This window comes from Homo sapiens, chromosome X (genome assembly GCF_000001405.40).
Source record: "Homo sapiens chromosome X, GRCh38.p14 Primary Assembly".
NCBI lineage: Eukaryota > Metazoa > Chordata > Mammalia > Primates > Hominidae > Homo > Homo sapiens.
This window is the reverse complement of record NC_000023.11, coordinates 36353966-36369116: the sequence shown is the minus strand read 5'-3', so window position 1 is coordinate 36369116 and position 15151 is coordinate 36353966. Positions and strand designations below refer to the sequence as shown.

Here is a 15151-nt window from a genome sequence, read left to right as displayed (position 1 = left end):
TTAATGCTTGCAGAAATATATCAGAATAGAAGAAACAGACTACTTCTAATTTTAAACCAAACATCTAACAGAATCTTAGTAATACTAATTAAAAATAAACCTGGACTAATCTGATTGTAGTACCACATCAGCAAGATGGCTGACTAGAGTTGCCTGGCTCTCAATCTCTGGGTTTTAAAACATAGGAGACTTAATATCAAAAACAGTTACTCTCCCAATATTAGGTTTTGGATAACTGATCAGGTTGATCAAAGATATGAAAAAATACATAATAACAATACCATTTATTGAATATTTAAAAGTTCTTGGCATTGTGGTGAGTAATTTATATACATTGCATTATTTGTTCTCATGGCAACATTATGGGTTATATTTTATCTCCACTTTATAAATGAGGAAATGGAAGCTTGGAGGAACAAAAATATATAGCTAAAAGTCCCACAGGTATTTAGTGGTTGAGCAAAAAATTGTTTCTCATTCTGTTTGACTATGAAACCAATTTTTTTCACAAGAGTATCATATTTTCAAACTGTAAGAGAAATTCCAGGTCATATAGTCCAATATCCACCTGATGTTAGTTTCTTCTACATTACAGGTACTTCTCTGACTTAACATTTAAAACTCTCTAGCAAAGTGGAACATTCTGATCCCCAAAACTACCACTAAATTTAACTGACTTTACCTCCTTAAAGCCTCTCCAATCTGTCTACTTTCCCTCTCCACTCGCCCTGCAAAAACCTCAAGCAACCTTCAGACAACAGCATTAGCCAACTAACTAATCTACCTCCATTCACTCTTACCATTTTTGCATTTGTTTTCTACACATTTCAGCTAAATATTCTTTTTCAAATATATCACTCTGCTCATTTAGTGACTTTTTAGTCTTTTTTGGATAAACAGCAAACATCTTGCCACAGCCTATAAGAACAGTAACTGTTAGGTGCTGGTTTGCTCAGATCTGTCCCAGTTTACCTTGTTGCCAAGCCTAATTATTAATTATCCTCTTTCATTCTCAAAAGGTTCAAGTTTGGACAGTGAATTTTGTGGTTATCCTATCTATAAAGCCTTGCATCACCTGGCACAAGTGATTATACATTTAACTGTTCACCACTCATTTTGACCATAAAGCTGGACAACTGTTACAAACAACCATTTCAGCCCTCGAGAAATGGATCAAATATATGCAAAGCTAACAGGTGCTTATTCATGAAAACTACTGAACTTCAGATAAGTATAGTGTAAAAAGTCACATGCAAAAGACTACGTATTATGTAATTTCATTTATTTGAAATATCAGAAAGGGCAAAACTATAGAGACAAAGCAAATCAGTGGTTGACTGAGACTGGTAATGAGTATGGGAGTTGACTGCAAAAGGGTTTGAGGGAAATATGGAGGGAAATGGAAAAGTTCTATATCTGGAATGTGGTTATGACTACAAATCCTATAATTAAAAACTATTAAAATGTACATTTACAATAAATGAATTTTACGTTATGTATGCTGTACCTCAAAAAGCTGTAAAAGTATATTTTACATGTGAGATTTTAGGTAAAAGTATTGTCAGACTGCCTATGTTAGCACAAATGTAACAGACAGCTATGATAGAAACAAAATTAAACATAACATGGAATCAACGTGGGTTTACCCAATTATTTCTGCTTAGTTAAACCATCTGACGTACCAACACAATTGACATTTGCAGAAAAACACTGAAACATCCTTTGAAAACAAATGGAAATATTAATAGTATCCTATATTTCAATTTTTAATTATTTACTTTTGTTTTTCATTCTGGTCTTCACTTTGTATACCCTATTTTCCAATTGTTAAGTAAAAATTTATGTAGTATATGAAGCTTTGAGTCAGAGAACCAATGTTGCGCTGGCTTAACCAGCAAAAGATGAACTATAGAATTTTCCATCTTAAATTTCATTCCAAAGTTCAGCATATTCACTAAAACAGCTACATACTTTTGTTTAATATATTACCTTGTCTGACTTTTCAGCCTAAGTTCAAAAACAGATTCCTTAAATAAACCAACTCCTTCAATGTCAATGACAGCATCCGTATCAGGTTCAGTAGCGATCAACATTATGGGAAACTTCCAGATCCCTTCTGTTACGCACTCTATTTTCAGTGTTATGTGAGACCTTGAATATAAAAGGAGATTTTAAATGACACTACGTGAAAACAAGTAAAGAGAATAAATATAGCAAACTAAACTAAGGTAAAAATGTAAGTAAACTCTGTGGTTTCAGTGAAAACACTAGGACATTTAATTCTTAAAAATAATGTAAATGACTTTTAATTACATTTCATAAATAATTTTTGAGTCATAGATTATATTTTCATTCTCCCTTTGAAGTAATTATTTTTAGGGTGTCTTATCTACCCTCTAGTTATTTTCTAAGAACCAACAACATATGCAGAATGAACTCTGCAAATTTTCTGTAACCAGCATAGATTATCATAGTGCATAAGAAGGTAAGGGTGGATTTGGCAAAATAGACCCATGTTTTATACTAATAGGTATTCCATTCGGGGATTTTTTTCAAAAATGAAACATTATGCGAAAGTATTTTCAACTCGTTTCACAAAGAAAAAATACATTTTCTGTGAAAACATGCAAAGCCCATACAATTGACTTAAATGGCAGTTTTTAAAAAATGAAATTGCAATTGGTAAAGACCACATACACCTTGCAGAATAAGATAAAATTGAGTGGCAGCTGAATTAAGGAAGAAAGTTAGTAGAGATAGACTTAAGACTTTCAAAGCATTTGACTATGACAAAGAGTGGAGAGATAGGGCAGTAGCCAGAGTTGATGAATGGTTATCTGTTTGCTTGTTTAGGGTAGAAATGATTCAAACATGTAACAGTGTGGTTTCAATATCATAAGTCAGGATTAGAAAAGGAATCTCATACCGCTTACTTAAAAGTGACAGAAAGAACATTTCTGGGAACTCTTACTCTTCTTAGGTGGGACTATAAAATTACTCAACCATTTTGTGAGCAACTGGATAGTATCTTAACAAATTTGTGTAAAGCAGTGTGGCAATTTCTCAAAGAGCTAAAAACAGAGCTACCACTGGACCCAGCAATCCCATTACTTGGTATAAACCAAAAGGAATATAAATCATTCTATCATAAAGACACATGTACTCATGTGTTCATTGCAGCACTATTCACAGTAGCAAAGACATGGAATCAGCTTAAATGCCTATCAAAGGAAGACTGGATAAAGAAAATGTGGTGCATATACACTGTGAAATACTATGCATTCATTTAAAAAAAGAAATCATGTCTTTTTCAGACACATGGATGCAGCTGGAGGCCATTATCCTTAGCAAACAACATAGGAACAGAAAACCAGAAAACCAAATACCACATGTTCTCACTTATAAGCGGGAAATGAATGATGAGAACACACGGACACAGAGACGGGACCAATAGACACTGGGGCCTACCTGAGGATGGAGGTTGGAAGGAGAAAGAGGAGAAGAAAAAATAACTATTGGGTACTAGTCTTCATACATGGGTGAAGAAATAATCTGTACAACAAACCCCCATGACACGAGTTTACCTATATAACAAACCTGCCCATGTACCCCTGAACCTAAAATAAAAGGTTTTAAAACAGAAAAGAAAGCTTCACTCAGTAAATTAGGAGTTCCACTATTGGTACTTTCCTCTGGAGAAATGCCTCTAAGATTTCAAGAAGTGATGTATATAAGGGTATTCATTACTGCATTGTTTATACTGTCAAAAAAAAGGGAGTAAAATTTTAAAATGTTCTTTCAATAGGGTGCTGCTAAAATGAAGTATGTTGCATAGAAACAATGGAATACTATGCAGCATAATTTAGTCAATGATGATTAATACATAATCTTAAACTTAACACATTCAAATATACATTTTAAACCTATACCTCTTTCACATTCTCCTGTCTTTGTAAATGAAACTATATTCCTCTATTCCCACTATTTCAAGACCATTGTTTCAAGAACCGGTTTCTCCACTTCTGCTGTTACCATCTTACAAGAAGATTTCCACAATTTAGAGCCACTGTTTTCTTTTGGTTTTTCTTATTTAACTCTGTGTCTTCCAGTAAACCATTCCAAATTAATTTGGAACAAGGAATGGCAGAAGTAAATGAATATGTGTGTGTGTGTATATATATATATATATATATATATATATATATATATATATATGCACAAAATATAACTGTTAAGTTACACCAGGTATCACTTAACACTTACAAAATTTGATGAATCATGTACACACGTTTTCCTAAACTAGTTCTCCAAATATTTATTCTTCAATAGTTTTCTATTGTTTCTAATATAAAAGGCCAATGCATATTGTCATGATCCTATGTGAACAAATCCCAGTAAAATTCTCCAAACTTATTTCCTCCTTTACTCGCTCCATTAGAGAAAGATTGGCTTTCTTACTATTCATTGTTTGTGCTAAACACTTCCTGTCTTACGACTTCTGCATTTATTATTTTCTCTGGCTCAAATGCTCTTTCCAACTTTTTTATGTCTGTAAGGTCTTGGCTTAGACATCATTTCATGGAAGCCTAACTATCCACTTTATCTGATGTGCATCCTTTAAAGTTCTCTATCTCCCTTTATTTATTTATTTATTTATTTATTTATTTATTTATTTATTAGGACAATCTGAAATTTACTTTCTTGCTTATTCATTTATTTCTGTTATCTATCACTTTCACTAGATGATACACTCCTAAAGTGCAGGGATTTTGTCTCTTTTGTAGATGTTAAATGATTTTTGATAAATTAATGTACAGGTTCAAATGAACAATGCTGAATAATTCTATTCTGTGAGCGACTTCTTTGAGTTAATGAGAAGTTGCTGAGTCAAAATGTGGGACCCTTCAGGAGAAGACCACAGAATTTCATGGATGACATGGTGAGCCATTTTATGATCAATACTGTAGATTCATAACAATGCATATGTGTGATATTTCTTATTTTAAGTTGCCACCCACAAACTCTGAAATAGAACTTTGTTTCTCATTCTGTTCAGCTCTTGAGCAGGTAAAAAGTTCTAGGAAAATGTCAAGCTAAGGTAATTAGCATTTCTGAAGATACCATAAGACAAATGATATCTGTTATTTCATTATTTTAAAAAAGTTACGACCTGTTAAATTAGGATCTTCAGACTGATTCATTACACTCTTAACCATTGTTCTCATACGCTTTTGTATTGGACCCTTGATTTTTATTGGAAAAAGACCAATAGAAATAATTTTCCTGCATTTCTTTTGTAATACCACCATTTAGCATATTTATTATTATTTTTAGCATGCACAACACTGTATTCTGTGAAAAGATGAATGTCAGAATGACCTAGTATTCACTGTTGTGAAACATGATATATTTTCTTTTTATCAAAACACATAAATGTTCTTTTTAACCTTGCCTACAAAAAAGAACAGAATTGAATTTAGTACTAATTCATTAATCTAGGTAAAGCATGGTATAATTATTTTCCTGTTGTTTTTCATAGCTCAATGCTATTGGTGTAATTTTGATTTTTCTTGTTTAATTGTTTCTCTTGCATTGACATTTTGGTCAATGATGAACTGTACATACAACGGTTGTTCCATATGATTATAATACTGTATGTTTACTGTACCTTTTCTGTGTTTAGGTACACAAATGTTTACCAATGTGTTACAGTTGCCTTCATTATTCAGTATAGTAACATCCTGTGCAGGTTTGTAGCCCAGAAGCAATAGGCTATACCATATAGCCTAGGTGAGCAGTAGGCTATACCATCTAGGTTTGTGTAAATGCACTCTACAATGATGGAATCACCTAAGGATGCATTTCTCAGAACATATCTTTGTTGTTAAGTGATGCATGACTGTATATACAAAAGAAGAAATCATAGTAAATGAATATATGCATATATACACAAAATAGAATTGCTATATCAGAACATCACACAACACTCACAGAAATTTATCAATCATCAAAAAATTTTGCCCTAAATTAGTCTCTCAAATATTCACCAAGATGTTCTAAATCCAAAAAATTTTCATGAGTATAAATTCACATTGGCTCTGCCCATTTTCACAAATAATAACATTGTTCCCTTTCTAGTGTTGCTGTAATTTCCATGTCATTATATTAATACATATGAAGCAAAATGTGAAAAAAATTAACAAACATAGAAAACTGTGAAAAATGAAAGAAAATACAAACATAGAAAATGTCAATATGTATGGTATACTTTCTTCTTGTAGCTTGATTTTATTGCTGCTTCCTGAAGATGACCCTGGTGTCTTTTCGTTATCAAACTACATATTCATAGCCACTTTAGATGTATGACTACATCGAATACAAGGTTGAACTTTAGAAATTGACTCAGCAATCCCATTATTGGGTATATACCCAAAGAAAAATAGATCATTATATCAAAAAGCCACGTGGACTCGTTATGTTCATTGTCACATTATTCACAATAGCAAAGACATGGAATCAACCTAGGTGGCCATCAATGGTGGATTGAATAAAGAAAATATGACATGTACACACTATGGAATAATATGCAGCCATGAAAAAGAATGAAACCATGTCCTTTGCATGCATCCATGTCCTCCTTCCATGGATGGGGCTGGAAGCCATAACCCTAAGCAAATTAATGCAGGAATGGGAAACCAAATACTGCATGTTCTCACTTACAAGTAAGAGCTAAACATTGAGCACCTGTGGACATAAACATGGGAAAAACAGACGCTGCAAACTACTAGTTGGAAAGGGGATAGGTTAAAAAGCTACCTACTAGGTACTATGCCCACTGCCTGAGTGCAACATACCCATGTAAAAAACCTACAAATATACTTCCTGTATCTAAAACAAAAGTTGAGAGAAGAAAAAAGAAATCATTAAAAACACAAATAATATTTTCAATTGTTTTTTCATTGCCAGGCTGTACTTTGTGTATATCATGGTGCTTATCAGTGTCTCTGCATTTAGACACAATAAAGCACTATTTCATAGTGAAATATCATATAGTGTTTGCAGATGCTGAGTAACAGGTGTCCAGAAAGCAAATATAATGACACTGAATGAAGTTTCCTAGAGGACAGACATCTAAAGGCCACCCTTCGCACAGATTCACTTATATCTTACTAAGGAATGTGTAATGTTATGTATTGAGTAGTAAAATGTAATGAAAGCAGTTGCAATGTAAAATATAGCTTAGGCATTTGCATCATTTGAACTGGTTCTGATAAGCAACATCAAGAAATATCATGTTGCTATTGCACAACGCTAAATCAGCTTTTTTAAAAAAAGATTTTACAGAAGAGAATATTCTCTTTCATTAATGTGATACACTAATGACCTTAGGGAAGTCATAATTCTTGAGGGATATCTTAGATTTTCAACCATTTAGACTACATTCTTCTCATGAGAATATTTTTTGTAGCTAGATGTAATCTAGCCCAAAATATTTCTCAATAATATTAAATAAGTATTGCAATTCAAATATTGAGAAATAAAAAGAGAAATCAACATTAATACATTTAAAAGGGTAATACTATTGTTTAAATAAAAAAGAGGAAAGTAGATTTACCTTAATGGTTTCTTTGGTGTGAATACCAGATTGAAGATAAATGTTATCCTTTTAGCCATAATATCATAAGATTTTTCAATCATATATAAAGCTACACAGGATTCCAACTTAGACTTCATAGCTTCAGATTCAAATTGAATTTCATACTCGAATTCATGTATTTTAGGAATTTCTAGGAAAGTCAAGATGAAAATATATTTCAATTTAATTAAATATGCATAGATTTAATATCAATTACCTGTCAAGACTAACAATGCACAGGTATTTAGAGAAAGGGAGGGGGTATATATTATTTAGCTTAATGTCTATAAAGTCTAGTGCATTATCAGGCATATAATGATACTCAGTATATTTTTGTTAACAAGTTAATAAATAAATGAATGCATATAAAAATAAACATAGAAGACAATTCTCACCACTCTTAAATCTTTATAATTCAGGTCTATAAAACAAGAAAGGCCACATGGAAATTAATAATCATTAACTGCCTAATGAAAATAATGACATTTGCTCTATATAATAAATGTATTAAAAACCTATAGACTTAAAACTTATGAAGAAGTCATTTAAAACTTGCTTTGAATTAAGTTTAAACAATATTGAAACAGCATTTCAAACTATTAGATCAGGATTTTCAATTTCTGGTATATTTTGATTAACAAAAACTGCTCCTCATGTTTTAGTGTTGGAGTATACAGACAATATGATGAACAAATATTTTCTTAATGAGTAGGTTACCAAAGAAAAGTAGTAGTTTTTTGTCCCCTGCACATGAAAAATATCTTAAATCCAGAGCTAGCATGTAGATGAGAGGTACAAACATGTATTAAACTTACTCTCCAGTTATATGTAAGGAGCCCAACTCACAAATCAAGAAGTTTGTTGCATATGGAACTTGGAAGAGAGGTCAGAGAACCATGAATTGACTGGATCTACAGCTGTGCTAATCCAGAATCCAACCCTCTCAGCCCAGTGATGCGACATCCCCTTAGCCCAGGAGTTCTTAAACAGGGGAAGGGAATAGCAAAGGGAGAAGCCAACTCTGTCATATATCCTTGCACTAGGCCTGGCCTCATGGACCCTGGTTCCAGGCCTGTCCTTGTAGACACAGGCGCCAGATGTGTCCCCAGTCATGGCCCCAGATCTGCCTACAAACCCAGGCACCAGGCCTACACCAAGATGCATTATAATTAAATTGTTGAAAGTCAAAGGCAAGCTACTCTGGGCCACTCTGCTTATGGGATGTCCCTTCTCTGTCTATGGAGCAGTCAAAAACAGTTGAAGACAAAAATAGAACTTTGAAAACAGCAGGAGAAAACTGTCTCATCACATACAAGGGAACTATTATTACACTATCAGTGGATTTCTCAACAGAAACATTGAAGGACAGGAAACAGTGAGATGACACATTCAAAGTGCTAAAAGAAAACAAAAGGCCAACCAAGAATACTACACTTGACAAATCTGTCCTTTAAAATAAAGAGATATTGGGAGGCTGAGGTGGGTGGATCACAAGGTCAGGAGATCGAGACCATCCTGGCTAACACAGTGAAACCCCGTCTCTACTCAAAATACAAAAAAAAATTAGCTGGGCATGGTGGCGGGCACCTGTAGTCCCAGCTACTCCGGAGGCTGAGGCACAAGAATGGTGTGAACCCGGGAGGCAGAGTTTGCAGTGAGCCGAGATTGTGCCATCACACTCCAGCCTGGGTGACAGAGCGAGATTCCGTCTCAAAAAATACAAATAAAAATAAAGAGATAAAAACCCTCAGATGAACAAAAGCTGAACGAGTTTGTCACTACTAGACCTGACTTATAAAATGTACTAATAGGGAGTTTTTCAAGCTGAAATGAAAGGGTGTTCAAAAGCAACATAAAAATATATAAAAGTATAAATCTCACTGGCAAAGTAAATATATATACAAATGCAGAATAATGTAATACTGTAATAGTGGTGCACAAATAACTTTTAACCCTAGTAGAAATGTTAAAAGAAAGTATTTAGAAAAACTATAGCCACAAAAAATTAGTTAATGAATATACAATAAAAAATGGCTTTTAATATCCATAATATAAAGTGTATTTAGGGGGAGTAAAAGTATTTTTGTATGTGATTGAAGTTCTTATCAGCTGAAAATAGACTTTTCTATATTATGATATAAAATAGTTATCATGCTTGCCTTCTCAAAGCACCTCTATTGTCAGTTGCCTCCCCTTCTGTATACATTTTCATGAACTGCTGATGAAGACCTATAAATTTTTACCTCGGGGAAACTTTATAGCTATGGCTAAATTCATGAATAAGGGGCAAATAATTTTGTTTCCACAGCCAACACCTAAACATACATTAAAAACATAATGTTTTTCTTATCGTTATTTATATTTTCATTTCTTTATTCATTCAGCAAATATTAATTAAAGGTTTTCCTTGACATGAGACGTCTAATTCTTGTCCTCATGGAGTTGATGATCAAGAGGAAGAAACTGACAATAACTACTAATGCCACAACTAGTTTTTAAATTACTACTGTGATAACTACTACCATGGAGAAGTAGAGGATCCCATGAGAGCACAGGTCCTGGGAACATCACTGCTAAGGATTCCAGAGGAAGAGACCAACACACCAAACTGAAGGATGAGTAAAGGTTAGCTGGATGTAGAGAGGGAGAAAACTCCTTCTACTCATCAAAGCAGCCTGCAGGAATTACTCAGACTGCAGGAATTGTTCATGGTGAAAACCAGCTGGGCCCACTTGAGAAAGAACTTATGAGGGCAGAGCAGAGAGGGTGAGAGGAGTTTATCAAACCGTGAAGCAGGCAAAGTAGAAAAGAGCGAGACAATGCAGGGTGTGGTGAAGATGTGGGACTTCTAAGAATAACAGGAGACAACTAGACTACTAGTGATTAGCATCCAATTTCAGACTCTATTCAAGATTAATACTAAATAAAAGAACCCAAGCAGTCTGACTTAAGACTTTACAACTCAGTATAGCAGGTTTGTCATATGGCACAATTGCTGCAGAAGCACCATTAGCACCATTAGCATCATTGTCTGGAAGGGTGCAGGACATAATTTGTGCATAGGAATGTGGTGGCTCTCAGAGCAGAGCCCTAGGGCACTCAAAAAGTTAGGTCAGAAAAGAAAATAACAGAAATCAAGAAGGGTCAACCAGTGTGATAATAAATTAATAAGGTTAGTCATGAAAGCCAAGGGCAGAAAGTACTTCAACTTGATCAACTGGTAAATGCTAATGACATGTGGAACACAGATATGACTGCTGTATTAGGCACACTGGATAAGGTTGGCAGTCTTTTCAAGGTTAATCCTATTAGAGTAAGCAGGACAAAGGCTGAATGAAGTAAGTTGATCAGAAAAAAACAAAGTGAAGAGAAACAGAGCAAAGAATCAAGGACAGGAGGTCAATATGAGGTCACAGGAGGAACAATGACAGGTTTCTCAGGAGCTGTTTGTGATTACAGGCCAAACCTGACATGGGAGTTTACAAAAAACAGGCAAATACGACACAGGAAGATGACTGGCCTGGGATGAAATGAGACACATATGTCACATAAATCAGAACATCACACAGAAAAAAGACAACAGATTAATCAAAGAAAAACAGTATTGAGCTATAGAACAATTGGGAAATAAAATTAAGGGGCATGACTAAAACTACTTTCAGATAGAAAGCCCCGAGAAAGTCACTGAACTAATCCATAGAGAATTACAAAGAATGCATGGACCAGGAGGTACTTAGGAAGAAGAAATACACTTATAGGAGAAATCTTGCCCACAGAGTAATTTGTAATCTTACAGAAGTGACACTGCAAAACAGTCTAAAAATCCAAGAATAATAATATTTCAATAGGACAATACCAATTGATGTAAATAGTACAGGTGCATAGATTTATCATGTTGAATAAATATTTTTGAAAACCTTAACAACAGAGTATGTGTTTTGCTAATTTTGGCACCTCTGGAGCTGAATGTAGTATCTGGCAGAAAAGATGCTTGCTGGATTGTTGCTGAATGATAAAGACATGAAGGTAATCAATCCCAGTTTACTTAAAGGTATGTGTGATGAGTAAGGATGAAGAGAGCACAGTGGTCCTTGTATTTTCATTTAATGAAGCTTGATAGTTTTATGTGACTCAGAAATTCTATGATGAATATAATGGGAAGGGAATGCTGGGAATTCTTATCTCCTACTTATCAGGTTTACATAAAGAGGCCTATTCACTCTCAAGAAGGGAAAAAGTATAGGAGAAAAATATCTCAGCCTCAATCTGCCTCCTTCATGATGACTTGCCACGGGTGGAAAAGCAACATATCTGATCAGTGAATTTGAGTGAAGGAATGGAACATGAGCAGGTGAGCATACCCTTCTCTTTCTTCCCCAATGTCTTGATTCCAGGATTCACACTTTCTTCTACTCGCTCATGTGTAAGTTGTTTGTTCCTGCAAGGAGTTCACAACTGGCCAGTTTGGCATGAATGCACTCAATTTTGGTGGAAGGTATTTAAAAGCCCAAATTTCTCCACAGTTCCAAGTCATTTTCCAATTCATTTGTATAATTAATAAAGCTAACACTTTGATTTCCATCTGCTTTATTTTTATATCTGCCTCTCAGTTAGTTTCAAACTCAGATGAGAGAAGACAAGTATGTGATTAATTATCACTCTTAAAATCCTATCAGAGTCCATGCCACTCAGTGTAGTGCTTTAATTTCCACTAGAAGGGACTTAGGAGACAACAGGAAGTACAAGACTGCATGGTCAACATGACTCCTATTCTTAATGTGCTGAGTAAACTGTAATTAAATTGCACAGGAGTGAGAAAGGAGCTAGTCTGCTTTTGCATATACTAAAGACTAAAGTAGTATTCAGACTTTCTGGTAAGATTTGTCCTTTCATAAAGAAAAAGGTGTCAAAGGAGGGTCAAGCAGAGAGAATTACAGATTTTGTAGAGAGTTGGCTACACCTTTGGAATAAGGGCAGGGGAAAGGAACCAAGTTATTGCCATATGTCTTTAAGGAGACAATGAGGTCGATTCCTTTTTTTAAATATTTAGGCACTATATAGAAAGAACTATGTTAAATTTGAGAAGAGACTGGTCTATTCTTCTATATAGCAGGACATACATCAGGAGAACAAAAAAGATTCACAAGTTAGCCAAAATATGAATGAGCTTGTTGAGTGTGGTGGTATTGAGCAGAGAGCAGAGAAAACAAAAGCTGTTTTAGAGAGAATGACGGGTGGAGATGAGACTGCAAACCTTCCCGACAGTTATTTTCAATAGTAAATACTGTTTTTCATCATGAAAAATAAGGAAGCAGTAAAATAAGAGCCATATCAAAAGGTATATTTTCAAGAGCTATTTTGAGAGAGATTGCTCTCCTAAATATGACTTTCAAAGTTCCCAAAATGATGTTGGTAGCTTCTTTCAAGACCCTGATTATCTAGGAGTTAAGTGGATTTTTTAGGTTATAAGTATAATCAATGTATATGATCAGAATTGCAATTTCTTTAGTTTACAACCTGACAAGAGTACAACTTAAGCAATTTAAAGTAGCAAGAACATGTTAAAATGGTTTATATGTATAAGCATTTATTTACCTTCCTTTACAGTTACTGTAACATGAGTTCTGCCCTCTTAATATTTTTAAAGTGCATTTTAAGTGCACCACACAATATTGTTAACTCTAAGCACTATGTTTTACAACAGATCCCTAGAACTTATGCATTTAGTACAATGGAAACTTTATACCCAATGTTCAACTCCCCATTTCTTCTCCCTTCCAGATCCTAGCAACTATTATTCCATATTATTCTGCTTCTATGAGATTGAGTATTTCAAATTTATCATATTAAGTGGTATCATGTAGTTTTGTCTTTCTGTGACTGGCTTATTTCACTTAGGTCCATCCATGATATTGCACATTATAGAATTTCCTCCTTTTTAAGGCTGAATATTATTTCAAGATAGTATATGCTACATTTTCTTTATCCATTCATCTGAGGACATAAATTTAGGTTGTTTCTATATCTTGGCTATTGTTAATAATGTTACAATGAACATTGGAATACAGACCTCTCTTGGAACTCCCGATTTCAATTTTTTTGAATAAATGCCCAGAAGAGGGATTGCTAGATAATAGATGATAATTCTCTTTTTAATTTTTTGAGGAGCTTTCATACTGTTAGACTGTTTTCCATAGCAGATGAACCATTTTGCATTCCTACCAACAATGTTCAAGGGTTCAAATTTCTCCACATCTTTATCAACACGTTTTTTTTTGACGTTAGCCATGGTGATAGGTGTGAGGTGATATCTCATTGTGGTTTTGATTTGTATTTCCCTAATTAGTGATATTGAACTTTTTTTCATATAGTTTTCACCATTCATATGTCTTTTCTAGAGAAATGTCTATTCAAGTATTTTGCTTATTTAAAAAATCAGATTATTAGTTTTTTTTTAATTGAGTTGTAGGAGCTCCTTAAGATTAACCACTTATCAGATATATGGGTTGCAAATGTTTTCTACCATTCCACGTGTTATCTTTTCACCCTGTTGATTGTTTCCTTTGTTGTGAGGAAGCTTTTCAGTTTAATGTAGTCCTACTTATTTTATTTTATTTTTGTCTGTGCTTTTGGTGTTATATCCATGAAATCATTGCCAAGACCAATGTGTCATGAGAAGACCCTTTGCCAAGCACAGGGTCTTTGGCAAGAGGGTGTCCTAAATCTCCCTAAAGGCTTTGGTAAGTCTGGTTCCTCCTGAAGTGCAAGAAACTTTCAATTAGTTTCTGTTGTCTTACGAAGGGAATTATTGCTGAATTGGTGTGTTTGTGGGTGTTTGGAGGGTCCAGAACTCTCTACTTTCCCTTGTTGCTTACATCACTCAGTTTCACATATTTACCTCAAGTAAAACACCACATATTTGAAGAATTAGATAACCTATTTTAAATTATTTTGATGTTTTTTAATTGAGATAGTAAATCTTTTTTTTTTTTTTTTTTTTGAGACAGAGTCTCTCACTGTTGCCCAGGCTGGAGTGCAGTGGCACGATCTCGGCTCACTGCAACCTCCGCCTCCCAGGTTCAAGTGATTCTCCTGCCTCAGCCTCCCAAGAAGCTGAGATTACAGGTGTGTGCCACCACACCTGGCTAATTTTTTATATTGTTAGTAGAGACGGGGTTTCTCTATGTTGGTAAGGCTGGTCTCAAACTCCTGACCTCGTGATCCTCCCGCCTTGACCTCCCAAAGTGCTGGGATTACAGGCGTGAGCCACCGCACCTGGCCCGAGATAGTAAATTCTTATATACAAATCTGGAATATACATTAAATACGTGAAGCATTATTATTATTATACAAACTTTATTTGGATATTATATCTAATTTATGTTCATTTTCTATTTCTTTACATTAGAAAATAATTTACTCAAGGTTTTGTTTCTAAATTTAAAGCTGCATTTTATGGCATTATCATAATCCTTAAATCAGAAAGAAAGAGTAAAAGAAAAAAACAAAGTTGAG

General features: G+C 34.3%; 1 protein-coding gene and 1 long non-coding RNA gene across 2 annotated transcripts in view; one reads left to right on the top strand and one right to left on the bottom strand.

The window, feature by feature from the left end:
* The window catches only part of LOC101928627 (uncharacterized), a 74667-nt gene extending 71176 nt beyond the window's left edge, over positions 1–3491 (top strand). The window contains exons 7-8 of the long non-coding RNA NR_110412.1: positions 1020–1196; positions 3315–3491. This is a non-coding gene — a long non-coding RNA (uncharacterized LOC101928627). The remainder of the gene's footprint in view (positions 1–1019; positions 1197–3314) is intronic.
* The window catches only part of CFAP47 (cilia and flagella associated protein 47), a 465584-nt gene that overhangs the window by 16201 nt on the left and 434232 nt on the right, over positions 1–15151 (bottom strand). The window contains exons 61-62 of the mRNA NM_001304548.2: positions 7616–7787; positions 1990–2151 (exon numbers count right to left, since the gene is read on the bottom strand). Of these exons, the coding sequence (NP_001291477.1) occupies positions 1990–2151; positions 7616–7787 (334 nt within the window). The remainder of the gene's footprint in view (positions 1–1989; positions 2152–7615; positions 7788–15151) is intronic.